The sequence below is a fragment of the Homo sapiens genome, chromosome 6 (genome assembly GCF_000001405.40).
Source record: "Homo sapiens chromosome 6, GRCh38.p14 Primary Assembly".
NCBI classification, from domain to species: Eukaryota; Metazoa; Chordata; class Mammalia; order Primates; family Hominidae; genus Homo; species Homo sapiens.
The window spans coordinates 44,218,760-44,240,056 of NC_000006.12; the positions used below are offsets into that span (position 1 = coordinate 44,218,760).

Here is a 21,297-nt window from a genome sequence, read left to right on the forward strand (position 1 = left end):
ACAGTTAGAAAGTGCAGTCTGGGCAGGGCGCGGTGGCTCACGCCTGTAATCTCAGCACTTTGGGAGGCAGAGGCAGGAGGATCACCTGAGGTCGGGAGACCAGCCTGACCAACATGGAGAAACCCCGTCTCTACTAAAAATACAAAATTAGCCGGGCGTGGTGGCGTATGCCTGTAATCCCAGCTCCTACGGAGGCTGAGGCAGGAGAATCGCTTGAATCCGGGAGGCGGAGGTTGCAGTGAGCCGAGATCGCGCCATTGCTCTCCAGCCTGGACAACAAGAGCGAAACTCCGTCTTAAAAAAAAAAAAAAAAAGAGTTAGACACATTTGCATCCCAGCCTCCGGATAATTTGCTTATTGTTCCCAGGCAATAATCCTCTCTCTCTGGGTGACTCTTGGGCTCTATCTAGGTTCAGACGAGGACAGTGAGGAGTACAGGATCCAATTGGGATTCCAGTCCCCTCCCCACACCCGTCAGAAGGCTTGGTTGGGAAAGAAGTGAGCCCCAAGCTATCCGCCCCACCCCCAGCCCTGCGGGGCTTTCTGCCTGCCACACGCCGTCCCTGCTCACTACCCCATCGGTTTCCTTCGGGAGTCTTCAAAGCCAGTGCACGTGCTCCCAGGTCTCAGGGAGGCGACCCAGGGGGAGGGGCAGAGAGAAGGGGGTCCGAGCCCTTGGGCCCCTAACCCCGTCCCTTTCCGGAGCCTCGGGTGCCCAAAGGCGCCGGCCGCCAGTCCCAGGCCCGAAGGGCCCCTCCCACTGAGTCGGCTCTGGTCTCCCCGCCCCTGAGCCGCGAGGACTGGACGCAGCTGGCTGCGGAGCTCTGGGCGGGCGCTGGGGTCGCCTGTTGCAGCCTCTCTTCCGCCCGGCGGCCCACACCGGTCAGGCCCGGCGCGGGCTGCGCTCTCCAGCTGTGGCTATGGCCCCAGCCCCGAGATGAGGAGGGAGAGAACTAGGGGCCCGCAGGCCTGGGAATTTCCGTCCCCCACCAAGTCCGGATGCTCACTCCAAAGTCTCAGCAGGTGCGCGGGGCGGGGCCGGGGGGCCTGGCGGGGCGGGGTGGGGTGGGGGCGAGGTCTGCGCCGTTCTCACGCTGCCGGGCGGGACAGGGGGCCAGTAGGGGGACCCGCTGGGCTACAGTGTCTCAGGGGAGTCAGAATCTTTGGTTTCTGGATGCGGGGCCACTTTTCTGGGCCTTCGAAGGCCATTATTAGATGACTGCCTCCCCAAACTCCCCAGCCACTTACAGATGTCCCAGGAACATAGGGTAGGGGGAAGAGGTCTGGAAAATTAGCCTAGAAGACCAGCCCAGACCTAACTGAACAAAGAATTTAGTCTTCTCGAACCCCGAGCCAGTACCCACACTGTGAACACACCTGTCTTTACTTAAAAAATCTTGATGTTTTATTCATCATGGAGTCTTTAAAAAAAAACAAAAACCGAGTCTCGCTCTGTTGTTCAGGCTGGAGGGCAGTGGTGCGATCACAGCCTACTGCAGCCTCGACCTCATGGACTCAAGCCATCCTCCCACCTCAGCCTCCCAAAATGCCAGGACCACAGGCATGCGTCAACATGCTCAGCTAATTTTTTTTTTTTTTTTTTTTTAAGAGACAGAGTCTCCCTGTGTTGACCAGGCTGGTCTTGAACTCCTAAGCTCAAGTGATTCTTCTACCTTGGCCTCCCAAAGTGCTGGGATGACAGATGTGAGCCACTGCACTTGGCATCATGGAGTCTTGATTTGTAGACATTGCATTAAAACTTATTTTGGTAAGGGCTGGGTGTGGTGGCTCACGCCTGTCATCCCAGTGCTTTGGGAGGCCAAGGCGGGCGGATCACAAGGTCAGGAGTTCGAGACCAGCCTGACCAACGTGGTGAAACCCCGTCTCTACTAAAAAAAAAAAAAAAAATACAAAAATTAGCTGGGCGTGGTGGCACGTGCCCGTAATCCCAGCTACTCAGGAGGCTAAGGCAGGAGACTCGCTTGAACCCAGGAGGTGGAGGTTGCAGTGAGCCAAGATCACGCCACTGCACTCCAGCCTGGGTGACAGAGTGAGACTCCATCTTAAAGAAAAGAAAAAAAAAAACAAACTTATTTTGATTACATTAAAATGTATCTTTGTTTGTTTGTTTGTGTTTTCAGACAAGGTCTTGCTCTGTTGCCCAGGCTGGAGTGCAATGGCAGGATGATGGCTCACTGAAGCCTTGTCCTCCCGGGCTCTAGTGAACCTCCGGCCTCAGCCTCTGGAGTACCTGGAACCACAGGCTCGAGCCACCATGCCTGGCTAATTTATTTTAATTTTTTTTGTAGAGATGGGGTCTCACTGTGTTGCCCAGGCTAGTCTTGAATTCCTGGGCTCAAGTGATCCTCCCACCTCGGCCTCCAAAAGTGCTGAGATTTCAGGCATGAGCCACCACTCCTGGCCTAAAATTTATCTTGATTCATGAGTTTTTTGGCTCCCCCTTACATTTTACACCCCTGGCAAGTGCCTCACTGGCCTCTCCCTAGTCCCAGCCCTGTCACAAGGCCATGGAGATACAGTCACAAACACAACTGAGAACACAGACAGTCATGAGACATGTGCTGGTTACCAACCCCCAGGCCAAGCAAACACACTTCCAGCAAACACACATGACTTGTTGGTGACAGCTGAGAGGACACATGCCTGGGGAGAGAGAGGACTGTGTGTGAGGTGGTGAGGCATGCATGGGGCCTGCCAAGTTGGGGAGGGAGTCTGGGCCAAGCCACGGTCCCATATAGGGTGGTGAATAAGGTGTAGAGTAGAGGTGCAGCAGGACCAACCCTTCCCACCCCACCCCTTCGACAGGGACCTGAGGGAGCTCAGGGAGGGAGAGAAGCCAGAAGACCAGGCAGAGACTGAAGAGAGCTGGCAAGGCCTGGCTAGAAAAACTCCAGGCAAGGCCTGTGTAAGTTGGGGCTCCCAGGCTGTCCAGCAGGGGGCCCTGGCACCCAGCAACCTCTGCTTGGGAGGTGGCTACAGAGGGGTGTGGGTGTTGGCTAGGGGCCCAGCAGGATGGATGCCAGACGGACTTCTCTCCAACAATAACAGCCCTGGCTGTTGCCATCCACCGAGCTGGCAGGGCCCCAGTTTGGGTGGGGAGAGGAACCAGCCTTTCCCAGTCTGGCCTGAGACCCTCACCACTTCCCTCCAGTTTTCTTCCACCTCCAGCCCCCTCTGTACACAACTGCAGCCACTGGCCACCAGCCTTGCCATGCCTGGCAGATCTTCTGACCACTAGCCCTGCCACCCCCACAGACCCAGAGACCAGGAAAGGAGGGTGGGGAGCGAGGAAGGGGGCCAAGGCAGAGGGCAGAGGAGGGCTAGGAGAGGAAGAGAGAGAGACTGGACAAACATGAGGGCAGGAATTAGGGGGTTGTGGACAGACATGAAGCCACTCTCAAGTCATGGGGCTGTGCCTGGAAAAATACCACCTAAACCCATCTTCCTGCCCTCTGGTTAGGGCTGGCGGGGATGTGGGGGATGGGGGTGGGGTGGGGGAGGGTTGGGAAGGAATATGTGTGTCATCTCTGTGGGGCATGGAAACAGAAGGCTGGGGACACCCATTCTGGAGTAGCTTGGGGAGAGCCACTGACCCTAATTAGAAAAGCCACCTCTCTCCTTAGGGCCCTGTCTGTTTCTCTGGGGACAGGGTAGGACTACCTTATCCCTATGATGTGAGGTACTGCCAGTTGTTAATCAGTGTCTGTGGCTTCTCTAGGGGACAAGCCCTTCGGGTCAGTGGGCATGGGGTGGGCAGCGTGGGTTGGATTTTCTCCTCAGGACCTTTCCAGCCTTAGGATCATCCTCTAGCACTGAGTACTGCTGGAAGGGCAGGGAGTGCCCCCCACCCCACCCCATTTATTGCCCGACCAAAGAGAGGGCCTCCCTCCCCCTCCCTTGGAGGGACTTGCTGGACCACCCCTCAGCACGCCCACACCTTCCTCCTTAGCTAGTGAAAGACATACTCAGCAAGGCTTCCGCCTGTCAGGATGGCTGGGACAATAGGATTCACTGAGGATATAAGGCTGTTCCTAGCTTTTTCTCTTCCCATTCCCACCTGTGCCTCAGTTTTCCAAAGTGCTGGATTTAGAAAGGGTGAATTATGAGGGAGCTGGAGGGCTTTGCCCCACCCCCCTCCGCGCGCACACGCAAGCACAGGCAGAGGCACATACCCCCTCCAAGTCAAAGTTGTGAGTGGGGTGGTGTTTGCGCGTCTGTGGCTGGGACTGGATGTGTCAGGGATGGGAAAACCCATCATGCTGGTCACAGAAAATGCGCGGTGGGGACAGAAGCAGTTTTGAAGGAAAAGAAGAGGAGGGGGACTGAAAGAAAGAAGGGGGCGCTGAAAGGGAGGGCGCTGGGAGGAAAAAGGTGCAGTGTGGAGGAAGCGCGGCGTGGGCAGGGCTTGGGAAGGGATAACGGAATATCTGAGGTGGAGTGGGCCGTGGAGCGTCGGGGCCGGTCTGAGCAGCGGGTGTGTAAATGGAACAGTCCCGAGATGAATTTTATGGGAGTCTGCGCAGGTCCTTAATGTGTGGCTGTACCCTCCAGCCCCATGTACCCCACACGATGGACAGACAGCCTTGGTGTGGCAGGGCCCAAAGAGGTCCTATCTACCGCAATAACACGACCAGGCGGCCCTGGGGGCGCAGGGGCTCGGGGTGGGAGCGGCGGAGCGCGCGGAGTCGCCGCGGGGTGGCAGGGGTGGGCCGGGGGCGGGGCCGCGGGCGTCGGGGAGGTGGCAGTGGGCGCAGGGCGGGGCGAGCTCAGCGGAGGGCGGGTTTGAATGTGCCCCGGCGGGAGAGGGAAGCTGCAGCGAGAGCGCGCGGATCTCAGCGCGGGAGCAGTGCTTCTGCGGCAGGTGCTGCCCGGGGCCGGGGACTGGGGACTGGGGACTGCCGGGGCGGAAGACGCCGCTGCCCGCCTGCCACGGAGGGCAGGGAGGGCGGGCCTGACGGCTCCGCAGCCCGGAGAAGGGACGCCGGGTGGGGCCCCAGTGCGGAGCGTGCGGAGCCGCGCAGCACGTGGCGCGCACGGGCCAGGGAGCCTGAGGACCCTGCGGGGACCGGGACCCAAGCTGGGCGGGGCGGCCTGGCTCCCGGGCCTAAAACAGGCTGCGGTCACGTTGACCTCCGCAAGGGGCAGGCGAGTGGACGGGTGATCCCCATCGATCTGGTCGGTATCAGGGAGGGGCCGTGCCGCTGACTGCGCTGGCGGAGGGGTATGGGGATGGGGATGGGGATGGAGGCTCGCGAGCGGAGGTGCAGGCTCGCGAGCGGAGGTGCGGGGCTGTCTCTTTAACCCCGGTCTTTTACTGGCTAAACTCGTATCCCTGGCGTCTCCTTCCTGCGCACGTCTTCATTTACTGATTTACTGTGAGGGTATATGAGAGGGTGAAGACAAACAGTCCTCGGCTTTGCTTACCAGGAGAGAGCAGTCGTAGGTCAAGGCTGGCTCCAACCCTGCCCTCACACCTCTAGGGGTCTCTCTGCAGCCCTGTGGTAGTCCCTTTGCCTACTCCTCTCGGTGGCCTCCAGACCCTCCAACTTTCCTCCTGCTTGTGTAAGCTCCCCATGCCAGGATGTGTGTGATGGGGCGGGGCTGAGCTGCCTGACACTCAAGTCAGGCTGGGAATGATCTTGGTCTCCACCTCATTTTTCCCTTTAGTTGAATCAGAGTTCCCCCCACCTCCCAGTCTACAGGGCTAACTGAGAAGCAGCTTTTATACCTCTCTCCATTCCAAAAGGAGCTTGAACATTTAATATGGATTCTAGCTCCTCCACTCACCAGCTCTGTGACTTCAGGCAAGTGACTCAACCCCTCTGAACCTCAGCTGGCCCCATCTATTCAGTGCTAGTACTAGCTTATGGGTGGTTGTGAAGAAAAGACAAGAGATCTGCAGGTAGTGGCTAGCCCCATATGAAATCCTGGGAGTGGAGAATTGCAGGAGAGGTGTTGGGAGTCTGGAGGCAGGGAGGTACTCAATTTGGTGGCTACTTTCAGGGGCCCACCTCAGCAGGCCAAGGCATAGTTGGAGGGACACCAGATGCTCTGAGCTGGTATCAGATCCCTGTTTGCCGCTGGGCAAAGGCAGACAAAAGCAAAACACGAAGGCTGGCCAGCTGAATGTTAGGATATGGGCAGGAGGAGAGGGCTGGAGTTGAATTGTGCCCAAGACTGGTATGGGAACTCCTGAGAACAGAGAGAGCAGGGGTGTAGCAGGGGGCCAGGGAAGAAATAAATACTTCTTCTCTAAGCCTAAGCCAGTTTTACCCAGGAGAACAGGAGCTATTCTCCCCACCCTAGGCCCCCATCTGCTTTGAAGCTACACCTGCTCTTAACTGCCAGGAATCTTGCCTGTGGGGTGGAGTACGGGGTATGCGGGTATGAAGTAAGAACCTAGAGGAAGAGTCCCTACTACCTAATAGAAAACCTGAGACCTAGGCAGGGCTCAGTGGCTCATGCCTGTAATCCCAGCACTTTGGGAAGCCAAGGTGGGTGGGTCACCTGAGGTCGGGAGTTCGAAACCAGCCTGGTCAACATGGTGAAACCCTGTCTCTACTAAAAATACAGAAATCAGCCGGGGGTGGTGGCAGGAGCCTGTATTCCCAGCTTCTTGGGAGGCTGAGGCAGGAGAATCACTTGAACCTGGGAGGCAGAATTTGCAGTGAGCCGAGATCATGCCATTGCACTCCAGCCTGGGCAACAGGAGCAAAAACTCCGTCTCAAAAAAAAAAAAAAAAAGAAAAAATCTGAGACCTGAGGCTTTCCCCCACCCCCACTCCAGTAATGCCCTCTTGCCTTCATCTCTCTAGAAAATGTAAATATGATTATTCACCCCTCGTGCCTAGGACAGTGCCTGGCTAGCATGCACAGGTCCTCAGTAAATATTTGTCGAAGGCCTGAATGGAGGAATCCTTCTGCCTCTATCTGGAGGTGTGGGGCTGAGGGGCTGAGGAGGACCTCTGAGAGCTTGGAGTTTCCCTGGGGAGGGTTGAGAGGAACTACAGGGAGGTGGGAGAGCCCGTGGAAGGTCTCATGGTGCCCAGCTGCTTCTGTTTGTCTGAGTGGGGCCAGAAGCAATGCTGCACCTGCGAGAGCTCCCCTGCTGAGACTCCCTGTTCTCTTATCTCCCGAGCGACAGGGGTGGCTTTTTATCTCCTGGGTGTGCTTCTGCTTCTTTGCTTGCAAGGCTTCTCAGAATGGGGCCCCATGAAGCCTGAGGGACTCTCTCCTGATAACACCCTGTGCCACCTTTTTCATTCTGGATCCGCACCCAGGAGCCCGTGGACAAGGCCCACTGCCTGAGCCTGAACTAGGAGCACCTCCTAGGGACTGCCCAGGCTTGCTCTGCTCTGACCCTTCTGCTGGCCAGTCTGGGCACCTGGTGAGTGCCCAGAAAGGGAGGGAAGGGAAGCTGTCCTTTCACCCCAAACAGCAAGGCCTGGGCCCAGCTAGGCCTGAGTGTGGGGAATGTGTCAGTGCACATCTGCCTGGCTTCCCATGCCACCCAATGGGAAAGCTGTTTAATCTGCTGGTGCCAGGGGGTCTCCCCCTACACAAATGGGGAGCAGGAGAGGGACGCTGAGGCAGAAGGATAGGTGCTTTGGGATCCACCCCTCCAATCTTCTTTTCAAGGTCACTCTTAGAAAGGGGAAGCGGACAGGAGCCTGTGACAGAGAGGAACTAAGGGAGGACTAGGTGACCCTGGGGTCGGGAGGGGGGAGGGGGAAGGGCTGTGCCCCCACATCCATTATGAAATATTTTCTTGGAAAACCGGCCAGCAACTAGGAAGCCCCTGGGCAGTGGCTGGAAAGAAAGGTTAAGGTGCCAACAGCAGAGAGACTGGAATCTGGGTTGCCTTCAGGAGAGGACAGCCCCACTCTAGCCATGAATCCAGGGGCTCCCCAGGGAGGGTGGAGAGACCAGACTTGCAGAGAGGGGCCTGGGGAGCCTCTGGTTTGACCTCAGTCATCATCGATGTTGTCGCAGCTGCTGCAGATCTGCCTGTTCCGTGTCCTTCCTCCTCCTCCCCCGACCTCTTTGCTGTGTCTCCTCCATTTGTCTCCCTCCTTCCCTTGTCATCACTGTCCCTGACCCCTCTCGTCCTCTTGCCTGCCTTCTTTGACTGTCTTTCCCTCCCTCCCATCATCTTTCCTCCTCCTTCCCTCCTGCTCTCCACCCTCCTGTTTCCCAGCTTATAAACTGCTTCGGCTGCTGGATAAAAATAGCGGTGGCAGCGGCCAGGCCGGGAGCCAGGTAGAGTCTGAGCAGGCAGGGGGGCCGCGCAGGACTGGCCTGCTGGGCCAGGGGGCTGGGTGGGGGTCAAGTTGAGTCGTCCTGAGGGGCAGGGTGCAGAGGGGGTCTTACTGGACTCCTCCACTGGCCTGTTCTGTCAGCCCTGCCCCCTCTCCCCCTAAGAGCCTGAGGAGGCCTATGGCAGGGCCAAGACAGGGCCTCACACTGTTCCTGCCCCCAGCAGGCCCCTGAGGGAGGGAGCTGTCAGCCAGGGAAAACCGAGAACACCATCACCATGACAACCAGTCACCAGCCTCAGGACAGGTAAGGGGTAAGGGGCTGGGCTGTGGATCCAGGGAATGGGTTTTCAGGGAGCTGGGTGTGGTGTCCTTTGGAATTGGGGGTTGCCATTGCTGGCTGGCCTTCCAGCCAGGTAGCTATGAGTCAGGTCTGCATCAGGGGTGGGGACCCCGTGTGCCTTGGCTGGGTGCTGGCTGGGGTGTCTGCGGGAAGGGCAGGGTGCGTGGGCAGCAGTCCTTCCCTGGCCTGTCTGTGTTTCCACTGTTGCTCTCCAGCCAGTTAGCGGCTTTCGGCTCCTCCCGCCACCACTGTGGGGAGATACTTGGCTGCACCCCTCCTTCCAATGCACATCTGGCAGAACTGCCCTGGGGCCTCTGCCTTAGATGACCTGGCCCACCCTGGTTCTTGATCTGATCTTCCTCTCAATTCCCTGCCTCTGGAGCCTGTGAACTCCCAGTCAAGTTAGACTTGCAGTTATGACTGTGAATATGTATTTTGGAAGAAGAGGCTGTAGCTTAATTCAATTTCTCAAAGGGATCTGGGACCCAAGAAGGCTGAGGAAGTGATCCCTGAGATCCAAAGCTCCTTCAAAGCGTCAGGCTCTGTCCTGCCCTCCAACTCAGGCCCCAGAAACCCATCACGTCTGCCCTACCCACCCCATCTCCCTCCTGTGCCAAAGGCTATGAAACTAGGCCACTTTTGCCTGTGGGGGCTTTGAGCATGTAGCTTAATCTCTCTGGGACTGTTTTTCCACCTGTAAAATAAGCTAAAAGTATCTACTTCCCAGGAAGTGGATCTAGAAGTAAGGGAATTTAAGGAGGCATGGCAATAAGTCCAGGCCCCAGGTTGCTTCCCTGCCTCCTGTGCTCCATTCCCAGGCTGCCTGCCCATTCTGTCCCCACCTCCGCTCTCCTGTGGGCAGTTCCCTGAAGGCCTCGCCGGCTCCATTTGCCTTATTGCACAGCTCAGTCATTTCCCAGCGTACTCCCCCCAACCCCGATCCTCTGTCCTATGTGACTTTGGGAGTTTTTCCTTCTGCTCTGGGCCTCCGAACCAAGCCTTTAGCTTCTCCAAGGGAAGCATGTATGTGAGGGGGTTGGGGGGGCTGCAGTTGCATTAACTCGGACCTGCTCACGTGGTGTGCTCACCACGCCATCCCTGTATGAGGCCTGCCAGCGGTCCAGGCTCCTGCACTCTGGCCAGGCCTGTCTTCTCACTGCCTTGGGCTTTATCCCTGCCATCTCTGAAGAGAGCTGGTGTTGGCTCTGGGGAGGGTGTGCAAACCCAACTGGAGATCTACATGGGCCGGGCTGGGGTTACTCAGCTTTCAGGCAAGGCCTATCTGGGAGAAGCTGGCGTGACCCGGAAGGGCCTTGAGGTATAGGGCTTGGGGCATTGCCCTGGCCAAAGGTGGACAGTCCTTATTTACACCCTGAGGCCCAGATGGCCTCCAGTGGCCCCATACCTCCTGGCCTGCCCTGGGTGGTATGAACTACAAAGTTCTATTTGGCCAGGAAGAAAATGGCTCTAAGGCCCTCTCTTCACAGCGGCCCTGAGGCACCCTGCCCACCTGCCCTGTAGGTCCAGAATAGTATGGGAGTTTCTTAACTTCAGAATCCTCTCTGGGGAGTAACACAGTCCCTGACCAGACAGCATAATTACTTCCAGCCTGCCTGGTGGGAGTGGAAGACACTTGCTGCTTGCTTTCTCACTCATCCACCCACCCCCTGCCCTTCGGCAGGATTTCCAAAACCATCTCCGGATGTGTGGGTCACACTGGTTCCCAGCCTGCAGAGTCCCCCGAGCCTTCCAGGGCTGATAACCATGGTCCTGTCAGCCATGCCATTCAGTCCTATGACCCTGACCCCATCCCCACCCCAAATTCCAACGAGCAATGTACCCTTTTCTCCCCCCACACCCATAAGAGGACACATGCAAACGGACACAAACACAGACGCCCTGTGCCCTGGGACCTAGAGAGACTGACAACGGACAGGGGCTTTCCTGGGGCTCATTGTGGAGTGGGGCAGGATGGTGCGTCATTTGGCCCATCTTTCCTCCTCCATTGCAGATACAAAGCTGTCTGGCTTATCTTCTTCATGCTGGGTCTGGGAACGCTGCTCCCGTGGAATTTTTTCATGACGGCCACTCAGGTGAGGCTGGAGGGACTGGGCTCCATGGGGCAGTGCCCACTGTGCTTGCAGGATCTGACTCTGTGCTGGTAGGCACAGGGAAAGAGATTTCAACACTCCTCTCTGCAACCCCTGCAGTATTTCACAAACCGCCTGGACATGTCCCAGAATGTGTCCTTGGTCACTGCTGAACTGAGCAAGGACGCCCAGGCGTCAGCCGCCCCTGCAGCACCCTTGCCTGAGCGGAACTCTCTCAGTGCCATCTTCAACAATGTCATGACCCTATGTGCCATGCTGCCCCTGCTGTTATTCACCTACCTCAACTCCTTCCTGCATCAGAGGTGAGTGCCCACCCCCTCCCCAGCCCCCAGCCTGACCCTCACTGTGTCCTGCACCCCCTTGGCTGAGCCCCAGCTTTGCCCACTTGTCTCTGCCACCCTTGGCCTCTCCCGGCAGGATCCCCCAGTCCGTACGGATCCTGGGCAGCCTGGTGGCCATCCTGCTGGTGTTTCTGATCACTGCCATCCTGGTGAAGGTGCAGCTGGATGCTCTGCCCTTCTTTGTCATCACCATGATCAAGATCGTGCTCATTAATTGTAAGCTGGGCCAGGAGGGGGCCTATGGGAGGAGGCATGCCCAACTACCCCCACTCTTTTTTCAGACCCAGCGTTAGCCAGAGAGAAGCCCAGCCTCCGCCTGGAGGGAGTGGATGCTGTGAGCAGCTGGGATTCAGAGGCCTGAGTGGGCCTGGACCAGGGCTGGGAGGGGGCAGAGAGAAGGGCAGCTCAGCCTCAAGGCTCACCAAGAGTAAAGTAGGAATGACAGGGATCTGTCTTCTTGGGCACCCCCAACCACCAGCCCTAGCTCCCCTGCTCATGCCCGCCCTGTTTCCCCAGCATTTGGTGCCATCCTGCAGGGCAGCCTGTTTGGTCTGGCTGGCCTTCTGCCTGCCAGCTACACGGCCCCCATCATGAGTGGCCAGGGCCTAGCAGGCTTCTTTGCCTCCGTGGCCATGATCTGCGCTATTGCCAGTAAGTCCGGCTATCTACCTGCCCAGTGCCCTGGTGTGGTGGGGAGAGGGGATGGGGCCTGTCTCTGATCACTGACACCACCCCAGGTGGCTCGGAGCTATCAGAAAGTGCCTTCGGCTACTTTATCACAGCCTGTGCTGTTATCATTTTGACCATCATCTGTTACCTGGGCCTGCCCCGCCTGGTGAGTAAATGGAGGGAGCTGGGGTTTGGGGTATAGGGGTCTGGGGTTCCAGACCACGGGTGTTCTGAGGACAAAACCTGAAGGAGGCCGGGATTCTGGAGATTCTGCCTCTAAATCCACCTCCCCCGTCTCCCTTACTTGATAGGAATTCTACCGCTACTACCAGCAGCTCAAGCTTGAAGGACCCGGGGAGCAGGAGACCAAGTTGGACCTCATTAGCAAAGGTCCGAAGAGCCTGAGGAAGCTGGGGTGGAGGATGGTATACCAGGCGGGGGATAGCATGAGCAAAGAGAACAAAGATGAGTGCCCTGTGTTAGCTAGCAGCCCTGAGCCAGAGGAGGACTGAAGGACTACAGCAGGGAGAGGGGGACAATAGGAAATAAGGGCCGGCAATGATAAAATGGGGGCAGATCCTGGATGACCTTGAATGCCTGAGGTGTTTGGACTAAAGGCAGTGGGAAGCAATTTCAGATTCTTGAGTGAGGAGTAACATGACCTGAGGCTCCTGGGAGAGGCCAGGCCCCCGGGTCTTGAGTTGTAGGGATTTGGAGGCGAGGTCTGGGTTAGGGTTAGAGTACGGCTGGGACTGGTTAAGGAGGCGTCTACTTTCAAGTAATCCCAGCCGTTTTGGGGAATGTTTATGTTGTCTTCTGTTGCTCTGTCTTCCCCACAACTTGGAGATTTCTTCCATCCCGCAGGAGAGGAGCCAAGAGCAGGCAAAGAGGAATCTGGAGTTTCAGTCTCCAACTCTCAGCCCACCAATGAAAGCCACTCTATCAAAGCCATCCTGAAAAATGTACGTAGGGGAGGTTATCCTATCTTCTACCCCTTGTCCTCTTTCTCTCCTCCTTTTGCTCCCTCCCCCTGCCACCCATCTCCTCCCTTTCTGACCTGAGAGTGGTCACTCCTGGATTCTTTTGTGTGTGCGTGCGTGCCCATGCGTGCGTGCCGGGGGTGGGGATTCGTGGTTCCTTTTTTTTGAGACAGAGTTTCACACTTGTTGCCCAGGCTGGAGTGCAATGGTGCAATCTCCACTCGCTGCAACCTCCATCTCCTGGGTTCAAGTGATTCTCCTGCCTCAGCCTCCCAAGTAGCTGAGATTACAGGCATATGCCACCATGCCCGGCTAATTTTTTGTATTTAGTAGAGATGGGGTTTCACCAGGTCAAGCTGGTCTCAAACTCCTGACCTCAGGTGATCCACCCACCTCGGCCTCCCAAAGTGCTGAGATTACAGGCGTGAGCCACCACGCCTGGCCTGGATTCGTGGTTCTTTAATGCACAGCCACCATGAAGACACAGGCATTTGGGTGACTCTACCCCTTCTATCTAGATCTCAGTCCTGGCTTTCTCTGTCTGCTTCATCTTCACTATCACCATTGGGATGTTTCCAGCCGTGACTGTTGAGGTCAAGTCCAGCATCGCAGGCAGCAGCACCTGGGGTGAGGATGCCACAGGTTTCCAGGATGGGAACAGACAGGATCTTGAGTTGGGCTGGAAGTGGGGAAGGGAGGGAGCCTGGGTCACCTTCTCCCCGTTTCCTGGGTCCATTTGCCCTTCCCTGGGCTGGAAGCATCTTCTCCATTTTACTGTTGGGGAAGCTGAGGCCCAGTGAAGGTTAGGCTTGCTATACCTGCCTCTGTGAGCCTGATAACCACCCGTTCATCTCCTCTTCCAGAACGTTACTTCATTCCTGTGTCCTGTTTCTTGACTTTCAATATCTTTGACTGGTTGGGCCGGAGCCTCACAGCTGTATTCATGTGGGTAAGTGGAGGAAGAGGGCCCCAGGCCCCTGTGGGAAGTAAGAGTCCAGCCTGGACCCAGAGAGGGAACCCAAGAAAGTATGGTAGTAAGGGGACCATTTGTTTTAAAGTCGAGGCATAATTTATGTATAGTTAAGTACAAGTCTTAAGTGTACAACTTAATGAATATATGTATATACACATACCTGCCCAGATCGAGATGTAGAATATTTCCAGCACTCCAGAAGGCTCCACCATGCCCCTTTCAAGAGTAACCCCCTAAGGAGAACCAGGCTTTGAGGTTTCAGTTCAGATCCTGAGGGGCCCCAGATGGATCCTTGGGGGCCTGGCTGTGCCCTGGGGTGGCGGCCTGGGCTGAGGCCCTGCCTGGTGCCCACAGCCTGGGAAGGACAGCCGCTGGCTGCCAAGCCTGGTGCTGGCCCGGCTGGTGTTTGTGCCACTGCTGCTGCTGTGCAACATTAAGCCCCGCCGCTACCTGACTGTGGTCTTCGAGCACGATGCCTGGTTCATCTTCTTCATGGCTGCCTTTGCCTTCTCCAACGGCTACCTCGCCAGCCTCTGCATGTGCTTCGGGCCCAAGTGAGTAGGGCTGGCAGGGAACTTGGTGGCATCAGACAGGATCTAGAGTTCCAGTGGGGGACACTCAGTAGAGGGAGGGCAAAAGGAGAGTCCCTGCTCCCAGAGCTGAGAGGAGAGATGGCTCAGGAGGGGCTCCCAGGCTGAGGGGATAGTGACTGTAGTGGAGGGGGGCGCCAAGCTTACTTGGGTGGAGGTGGAGACAGGTTTGCAGGAAGGAGTGAAAGACAACCCCACCATACACGTTCCCTCAAGGAGGAGAAGCCAGGTTGGGGTTAGGCAGCCAGGATGGGTTGATCAACAGAATGAGGTTCGACAGTCAAGTTGCTCCACCCCACCCCTCCTTCCACCCAGAGGCTCTGGGCTGGGGTACAGCCATTCTGAGGTAGCCTTGCCCTTCCTTCCCCGCTTAGGAAAGTGAAGCCAGCTGAGGCAGAGACCGCAGGAGCCATCATGGCCTTCTTCCTGTGTCTGGGTCTGGCACTGGGGGCTGTTTTCTCCTTCCTGTTCCGGGCAATTGTGTGACAAAGGATGGACAGAAGGACTGCCTGCCTCCCTCCCTGTCTGCCTCCTGCCCCTTCCTTCTGCCAGGGGTGATCCTGAGTGGTCTGGCGGTTTTTTCTTCTAACTGACTTCTGCTTTCCACGGCGTGTGCTGGGCCCGGATCTCCAGGCCCTGGGGAGGGAGCCTCTGGACGGACAGTGGGGACATTGTGGGTTTGGGGCTCAGAGTCGAGGGACGGGGTGTAGCCTCGGCATTTGCTTGAGTTTCTCCACTCTTGGCTCTGACTGATCCCTGCTTGTGCAGGCCAGTGGAGGCTCTTGGGCTTGGAGAACACGTGTGTCTCTGTGTATGTGTCTGTGTGTCTGCGTCCGTGTCTGTCAGACTGTCTGCCTGTCCTGGGGTGGCTAGGAGCTGGGTCTGACCGTTGTATGGTTTGACCTGATATACTCCATTCTCCCCTGCGCCTCCTCCTCTGTGTTCTCTCCATGTCCCCCTCCCAACTCCCCATGCCCAGTTCTTACCCATCATGCACCCTGTACAGTTGCCACGTTACTGCCTTTTTTAAAAATATATTTGACAGAAACCAGGTGCCTTCAGAGGCTCTCTGATTTAAATAAACCTTTCTTGTTTTTTTCTCCATGGCTCCCTGTGTCCTCCAGCCGTGGCTTCATGCCCTGGAGTGGGTAGAGGGCTGGCAGCCTGAGTCTGGGAGATGAGCATGACCCAGCTGGGCCCTGGCCAGGACTGGACCTGGGTCCAAGGGGGAGGAGGGGGGAGTAGTCCTCTTGGCCTCAGAGGGGCTGCAATGCCCCCTGCTGGGGCCACAGGGGAGGGACAGGCCTGGAACCAGAACACCAAGACTGTTAGCCAAGACTAAGAACGGGTTTTTCTTTGCTGCTTCATTCTTTCTTTCATAGGACAGAGGATGGAGATAGCTCCCCATCTTTCCTTTGTCTTCACTGCCAGCCCCTCCACTCTGTCCCCAGCCCCAGCAATGAACTCTGCAAAACTGGCCAGCTCCTGGCCATACTCCCATACCACCAGGCAGGAAGAGGCCGAGGCCTGAGGGTTCTCCCCTACCTGGCACCCAGCCTTAACACCAAAGCTCAGCCTGCCAGACTTCCTGGGGAACAAGGGCCCTGTGTGTCTGCACAGTGAAACCAACCCTTCCCTTCTCAACACAAACTCTGGCCTAGGGAGGGGTGGGTTGTTATGGAACTATGAGTGTCTCAGTGGAGAAGGCCCTACCACTGGGACCCCCATCTCAAGAATGACCTGACTGGAAGTGAGACCAGAGCTCTGGCCACAGTGCAGCACCCCTGCAATCTGCATTCCTTACCCTCCCACAAGTCTCAGACTCCTCCCAGAAAGCAGAAGACATTCCTGAATTCTCAGCGCAGGCTGCTCACTCAGCCCTGGCCAGCAGATGGCTACAGAGTTGGCACCTTTGTCAGCGCTTCCTTTCTCACTGGAGTTTAATTTAATTGAGAACTTCAGGCCTCATTAAGGGCTGTTAGCGCATTTTTAAGGCTCTTTGATGAGCTCTGAAGCCCTAATGGGGTAGCTAAGTATACCAGGGCACTGGGAACTGAAGTTCATGTGCTATTAATCATTTGTCAGACCAGAGTATTTATCTGCGGTGCTGGAAAACAAGGTATTCCTTTTGGATCAGGCTCAAAAGCTGAGGGGTTCCCTGAGTATCCTTCCCCCAGTCTGCAGTGCTGTTTGGCAGTGAGTCAAGCTGAACATACAAACCTGAGCTCTTTCTCGTCCTCAGTCCTCCGTTGTACCCAACCCCAAAGAACCCTATTGGTTTCCTTCCTCAGCACCAGCAGTGCCTCAGGATTCTGTATTTCTTCCTGAGGTTGCTTTACCACCTCCTGCCTGGCCCACTGGGGCTTCCAGGTCTCTTCCAGTCCATCCCACACATGGCCACAAGAATAATCTGAAAGTGAATCTAGCAGGCGCTGCTTGTTCTCTGGAGCATGCGCCTGTGTCCTGAGCGTTTTCTGATCCTCCACCACCAACAGCCAGTTTGTGCAATTTCTTTGCACCTCAGAGCTTTCATAATTTTGTGACTTTTCTATCATGTTCTTATCTTACTCCAGCTACCACGCTGTCATGTTTTTTAGGTTAAGGTGTACTTTTTACTCCTGTTTTGGCTTTTCAAGCTATGTCATACCTGCCTCCCAGAGGTACTTGGAAAATATTGGCTTGACAGCACATGCTTATCCCAAGGCGGAATTCATCTCTACAGTCTTCACATGCCCCACTCCAGCCGTGTGGTAGCACGCCTTGCTTGTGACCCTGGGATAGAGATGGGGATGTTAAGTAGGTTCCTCTCAACCCCAGCACTAATTTGAGAGGAAAAACTATTAAGGATACCGTTCCTTTCTCCCTTCCTGTACTTAAATTGATGTTGAAGGAAATTACTAGAATATTTTCTCCCCAAAATTTTAAAACACAAATGCTAAAAAATGTCAGTCTCTTCATTCTCCTGACCTCAGTGTTTTCACAGGTAAACCTGGAAGGGGTGAGGAGGTTAGGAAAAGCAGCTCCTAAGGTCTCCTGCCCACCCAGCTGCAGGGATGGCTCCCGACCCCAAGTGGGCGCTCGCAGGCCCCTGCCCTTTGGGGAGCAGGGGCCTCCTCTGGATCCTCCACTTTCCTGCTAGCACCTTGCTGCCTGTAAGGTAGAGAGGTCTGAGCATGAAAATCCTCCAGGTATCCCTGGCTGCCCTCACTTGCTGCTGGTCATCACCTTCCGTGTCACATTTCTGCTCAAAACAGTCAATATTCAGCTGCTGTCCCTGGAGTGGCTGCCATTGCAACACAGGAATGTCCCTCTTGTTTAATGTTTTATGATGAAATGTTGGGGCTTTAAAGAGTTGAAAAGCTAAGAGCCGTAGTAAATTAGCCATCCTGGAAAATAGAAATGAAGCCTCAGGTATAATCTTTGAGTCAGAATGTATCTGTATATCTATTCTTTGAGATGAATATGGAAAGACCATGGTGGAGGCAATATAAAGCCAGGGCTCAGAGAGCGTGTGATAGGAGAACCCAAAAGTTTTTTTTTTTTTTTTTTTTTGGCGGTTGGGGGTGGGACGGAGTTTCGCTCTTGTTGCCCAGACTGGAGTGCAATGGCACGATCTCAGCTCACCACAACCTCTGCCTCCTGGGTTCAAGCAATTCTCCTGCCTCAGCCTCCCAAGTAGCTGGGATTACAGGCATGCGTCACCATGCCCGGCTAATTTTGTATTTTTAGTAGAGATGGGGTTTTACCATGTTGGTCAGGCTTGTCTCAAACTGCCGACCTCAGGTGATCCTCCTGCCTTGGCCTCCGAAAGTGCTGGGATTACAGGCGTGAGACATCATGCCTGGCCAAAGTTTTTTTTTTTTTGGCCCCACCAAGATCTACTGCAGCCTCCACCTCCTGAGTAGCTGGGATTACAGACGTGCACCACCACACCTGACTATTTTTTGTATTTTTAATACAGACGGGGTTTCACCACGTTGGCCAGGCTGGTCTCGAACTCCTGACCTCATGATCCGCCCGCCTCTGCCTCCCAAAGTGCTGAGATTACAGGCATGACCGCGCCTGGCCGCCAATTAAAGTTTAACTAGAGTTAAACTATGACAGTGATTCAAAATGGTTGTAAACAGAAAAATGCAGCCACCTTAAGGAAATAGCCTGTTTGTCCAGCAAGCCCTGCCTGGAAGCCAAGTCTTCACACACAGGAAGAGTGGCAGTCCCCAGGTCAGCCAGCAGATCTGACTCAGAGGTCAGGTTGGCAGTGTCCCCCCAAACCCTTGGGGACCAACTGTTTCCTGGGGCAGGTTGGCACTGAGGGTGGAAATGGGCAGCGCCCAACTCCCTCTGGCCCCAACCTCATCAATGGCCTTATGTCCGGGCTGGACCCCTCCAGCCCATCTCGGTATGACCTGGCTTCCTGTGTAGATGCTCTCGGGGAGAGGACGTGCCCACTCGGAGCCCTCTGCAGCCTTGGCAGTCCTGGTGCTCGCTGGAAGTGAGCAAGTTGGCATTCTGGCAACAGACTGCAGGGTGACCGCTAAATGTGAGTCAGCAGGGCCCCACGAAGGCCTCCGTCCTCTCTCCTGGGCTTGCCCTGTACCAGCTGTGATCCCGGATTAGTCACTCCTCCCCTAGGCCCGCCTCCTCGTCCTTACCAGGGGATGACATATGTGTTGACTTAAGGAAATTAAGTGCGGGAGAGCATGGATGCAGGAGGTGAGGTCCCCAGAGCTACGTGGCGCTATCAGTTACCAGGATGAGCCTCAGGATGGCCCTCCCCGCACCCCACGTTCCCCCACCTAGCCTATTCCAGGCTCCTTCCCACCTGCGTTCATTCCCCTCCCCCGCCTCTCCAGTCCCCGGAAGCTTCGAGACCAAAGCCTCACTTCCCCTACTCCAGATATTTCCAGCGTGAACCACCACGCGGGTCCCTAAGCCTCGCGGACAGCCGAGAACCGTGGGGCTGGGGGCGGCGAGAGGTGCGACGGGGACCAGGCCCCTGCCCCATCCCGCCGCGAGGAGCGGAGGGGGTGATGTCACCCGGCCCGCGCGCCCCCTGGCGGGCGTCAGGCCCCACTGCTCTGCGCTTCTGCGTCCTGGCGGGTGGGTGACCAGACTGCGTGTCAGACAGACCCACGCCACTGCCCCGTGTCCGGGTGACCTTGAGCCAGGCTTGTTCCGTCGCGGCGCCACTCATCTGTAAGGCAGGGATAGTCACACTTGCCCTGACAACCGCGTGGGTCGTGAAACTTGTTATTCACTGAGATAGTGAATAACAACGCTACTTGGTCCAGCCACCCCTGTACTCAGTGTCTTACATGGCCTTATCTGATTTCCCAATAACCCTGTAAAGTGATGACTATTGCTATGCTCATTTTACTCCACAAAATTGAATCTGAAAGGTTAAAGGATGGAAAAACATTCTGTAAGCTGCAAAGCACTAGGTAAATATAATTATATTTCTCTCTCTTCTCTCTCTCCCTCCGCTCCCTATGAGAGTTCCCAGTCAGTGAAGGGAACGGAAAAATACAAGGCATCATGTGGTGTGGCACCATAATGCAAATGTGTTCCACCTTCCTCCCCTATTTTGGACACAACTCTTGTCTTCTCTTTTCACATCCTCAGGGATCCCAAGCCTCCTGGGACATTGACCTCTCATATAATCTTGCCCAGGTGAAACCAGCAAAGTCCTTCCTGATGTCTAACCTCGGCCCCTCCTGGGTGTGATCTCCTCTCCACCCAGCAGCACTATCACAGTCCTACCGTTCCATCATCTGCGTGGGGTGGAAGTGAGGCCAGTGAATGGCCCAGAAATCCAGCCCATTGAAACCTGCATGCTGAAAAGGAATGACTTCATCCTGGGACAGGCCAGGTGGCAGGCAAAACAGTCAAGTAGATCAGGGTTGTTTGTAGTGCCACCTGCCCCCTGCACTTTCCACTGGCTATAATCTGCTCTGGGATGAACTGAGTTGGGGTTAAGTTTTACCTTCTTAGTCAAAAGGGGCCTGGAACACTGAACAATGCCCAAGAGAAAAAGGGATGCCTGGTGGGCATGATGACAGAAGGAGGATAGACGTTTTGGACTAGGCTGACAATGGTCGCGAGGTAGAACTTAGTCATACCCCTTAGGCCACTGATAAATCCTTAAAAAGGTGAGACATAGTCATATGTGTATTAATAGAGCAGGTTACTGAATGTCTGATTTACAATTCAGGAGTGTCTCAGACCACAATTTCTGGCCCTTTTCTCACTGCACTCTAGTGATTTTTGTCCTTGCACATGACTTCAGCCATCAGCATCATGCGTAGATCTAAGACTGCAACCCAGGCCTCTCCTACATACCCCTCTGCCTACTAGATATCTTTCCTTGGTGCCCTACAACATGCTTAAAGCTGACCTCCAACCTAGAGTGGTCCTCCATCCCTGCTTTCCCCTTAAGCCCCTACGTTCTAGCATTCTTCCTCAGATAAGGCTTATACTCCTCTTCCCCACCCCTGACTGGTCTCTCTGCCTTCAGCCTCTCTCTTCTCCAAGCTATGTCCTGTGCAGCCTTCAAGTAGGTTATATTTTTCTTGAAAAAAGGGCTGCACTCCAGCCTGGGCGACAGAGTGAGACACTGTCTCAAAAAAAGAGAGAAAAAAGTCTCAAATACAAAAGCATGCAAGTAGTTTTTTGTGTGTTTGTTTTGAACAACACAATTAACAGGTTTGATTTAATAGATTTAACCTGGCTGGGCACAGTGGCTCACGCCTGTAATCCCAGCACTTTGGGAGGCCGAGGCGGACAGATCACCTGAGGTCGGGAGTTTGAGACCAGCCTGACCAACATGGAGAAACCCCGTCTCTACTAAAAATACAAAATTAGTTGGGTGTGGTGGCACATGCCTGTAATCCCAGCTACTTGGGAGGCTGAAGCAGGAGAATCATTTGAACCCGGGAGGTGGAGGTTGCGGTGAGCCGAGATTGCACCATTGCACTCCAGCCTGGGCAACAAGAGTGAAACTCTGTCTCAAAAAAA

At 55.5% G+C, this 21,297-nt stretch overlaps 1 protein-coding gene across 12 annotated transcripts, besides 9 other annotated features; it reads left to right on the plus strand.

Annotated features, from left to right (window-relative positions):
• Positions 413-707: a silencer, noted in NCBI's record as "tiled region #7869; HepG2 Repressive non-DNase unmatched - State 4:PromP". NCBI's record gives its function as "represses a minimal TATA promoter and a strong SV40 promoter by Sharpr-MPRA in HepG2 cells {active_cell/tissue: HepG2}" and the evidence as "EXISTENCE:reporter gene assay evidence [ECO:0000049][PMID:27701403]".
• Positions 413-824: a biological region, named in NCBI's record as "Sharpr-MPRA regulatory region 7869".
• Positions 595-824: a silencer, noted in NCBI's record as "silent region_17256". NCBI's record gives its function as "represses an Ori minimal core promoter by ATAC-STARR-seq in GM12878 lymphoblastoid cells {active_cell/tissue: GM12878}" and the evidence as "EXISTENCE:reporter gene assay evidence [ECO:0000049][PMID:35858748]".
• On the plus strand, positions 856-15,383 carry SLC29A1 (solute carrier family 29 member 1 (Augustine blood group)). 12 transcript variants are annotated; one of them, XM_011514341.3, is made up of 14 exons: positions 856-1,023; positions 2,827-2,926; positions 8,501-8,583; positions 10,631-10,712; positions 10,830-11,032; positions 11,148-11,287; positions 11,588-11,722; positions 11,809-11,906; positions 12,052-12,130; positions 12,605-12,702; positions 13,239-13,347; positions 13,584-13,669; positions 14,048-14,247; positions 14,658-15,383. In XM_011514341.3, the coding sequence occupies exons 1-14, from the start codon at positions 938-940 to the stop codon at positions 14,767-14,769; spliced, it is 1,611 nt and encodes a 536-aa protein (XP_011512643.1). In that variant the 5' UTR covers positions 856-937; the 3' UTR covers positions 14,770-15,383. The 12 variants fall into 12 exon arrangements, with proteins under 12 accessions (XP_011512643.1, NP_001291391.1, XP_005248935.1 ...); NM_001304462.2 differs by having other exon boundaries at positions 8,504-8,583; XM_005248878.5 differs by lacking the exon at positions 2,827-2,926 and adding an exon at positions 7,302-7,408 and having other exon boundaries at positions 8,504-8,583.
• Positions 1,055-1,154: a silencer, noted in NCBI's record as "silent region_17257". NCBI's record gives its function as "represses an Ori minimal core promoter by ATAC-STARR-seq in GM12878 lymphoblastoid cells {active_cell/tissue: GM12878}" and the evidence as "EXISTENCE:reporter gene assay evidence [ECO:0000049][PMID:35858748]".
• Positions 4,665-5,523: an enhancer, noted in NCBI's record as "H3K27ac-H3K4me1 hESC enhancer chr6:44191161-44192019 (GRCh37/hg19 assembly coordinates)". NCBI's record gives its function as "activates a minimal SCP1, AML or CMV promoter by ChIP-STARR-seq in primed H9 embryonic stem cells {active_cell/tissue: H9 hESC(primed)}" and the evidence as "EXISTENCE:reporter gene assay evidence [ECO:0000049][PMID:30033119]".
• Positions 4,676-5,075: a silencer, noted in NCBI's record as "silent region_17258". NCBI's record gives its function as "represses an Ori minimal core promoter by ATAC-STARR-seq in GM12878 lymphoblastoid cells {active_cell/tissue: GM12878}" and the evidence as "EXISTENCE:reporter gene assay evidence [ECO:0000049][PMID:35858748]".
• Positions 5,766-5,915: an enhancer, noted in NCBI's record as "active region_24631". NCBI's record gives its function as "activates an Ori minimal core promoter by ATAC-STARR-seq in GM12878 lymphoblastoid cells {active_cell/tissue: GM12878}" and the evidence as "EXISTENCE:reporter gene assay evidence [ECO:0000049][PMID:35858748]".
• Positions 8,062-8,660: an enhancer, noted in NCBI's record as "H3K4me1 hESC enhancer chr6:44194558-44195156 (GRCh37/hg19 assembly coordinates)". NCBI's record gives its function as "activates a minimal SCP1, AML or CMV promoter by ChIP-STARR-seq in naive H9 embryonic stem cells {active_cell/tissue: H9 hESC(naive)}" and the evidence as "EXISTENCE:reporter gene assay evidence [ECO:0000049][PMID:30033119]".
• Positions 19,134-19,473: a silencer, noted in NCBI's record as "silent region_17259". NCBI's record gives its function as "represses an Ori minimal core promoter by ATAC-STARR-seq in GM12878 lymphoblastoid cells {active_cell/tissue: GM12878}" and the evidence as "EXISTENCE:reporter gene assay evidence [ECO:0000049][PMID:35858748]".

Excerpts from the sequence above, each read along its gene's own strand:
- SLC29A1 (XM_011514341.3), top strand. The coding sequence starts at position 938 with ATGAGGAGGGAGAGAACTAGGGGCCCGCAGGCCTGGGAATTTCCGTCC. Across the intron at positions 2,927-8,500 it reads AAACTCCAGGCAAGGCCTGT|CAGGCCCCTGAGGGAGGGAG; the intron begins GTAAGTTGGGGC and ends TCCTGCCCCCAG. Across the intron at positions 11,033-11,147 it reads AACTCCTTCCTGCATCAGAG|GATCCCCCAGTCCGTACGGA; the intron begins GTGAGTGCCCAC and ends CTCTCCCGGCAG.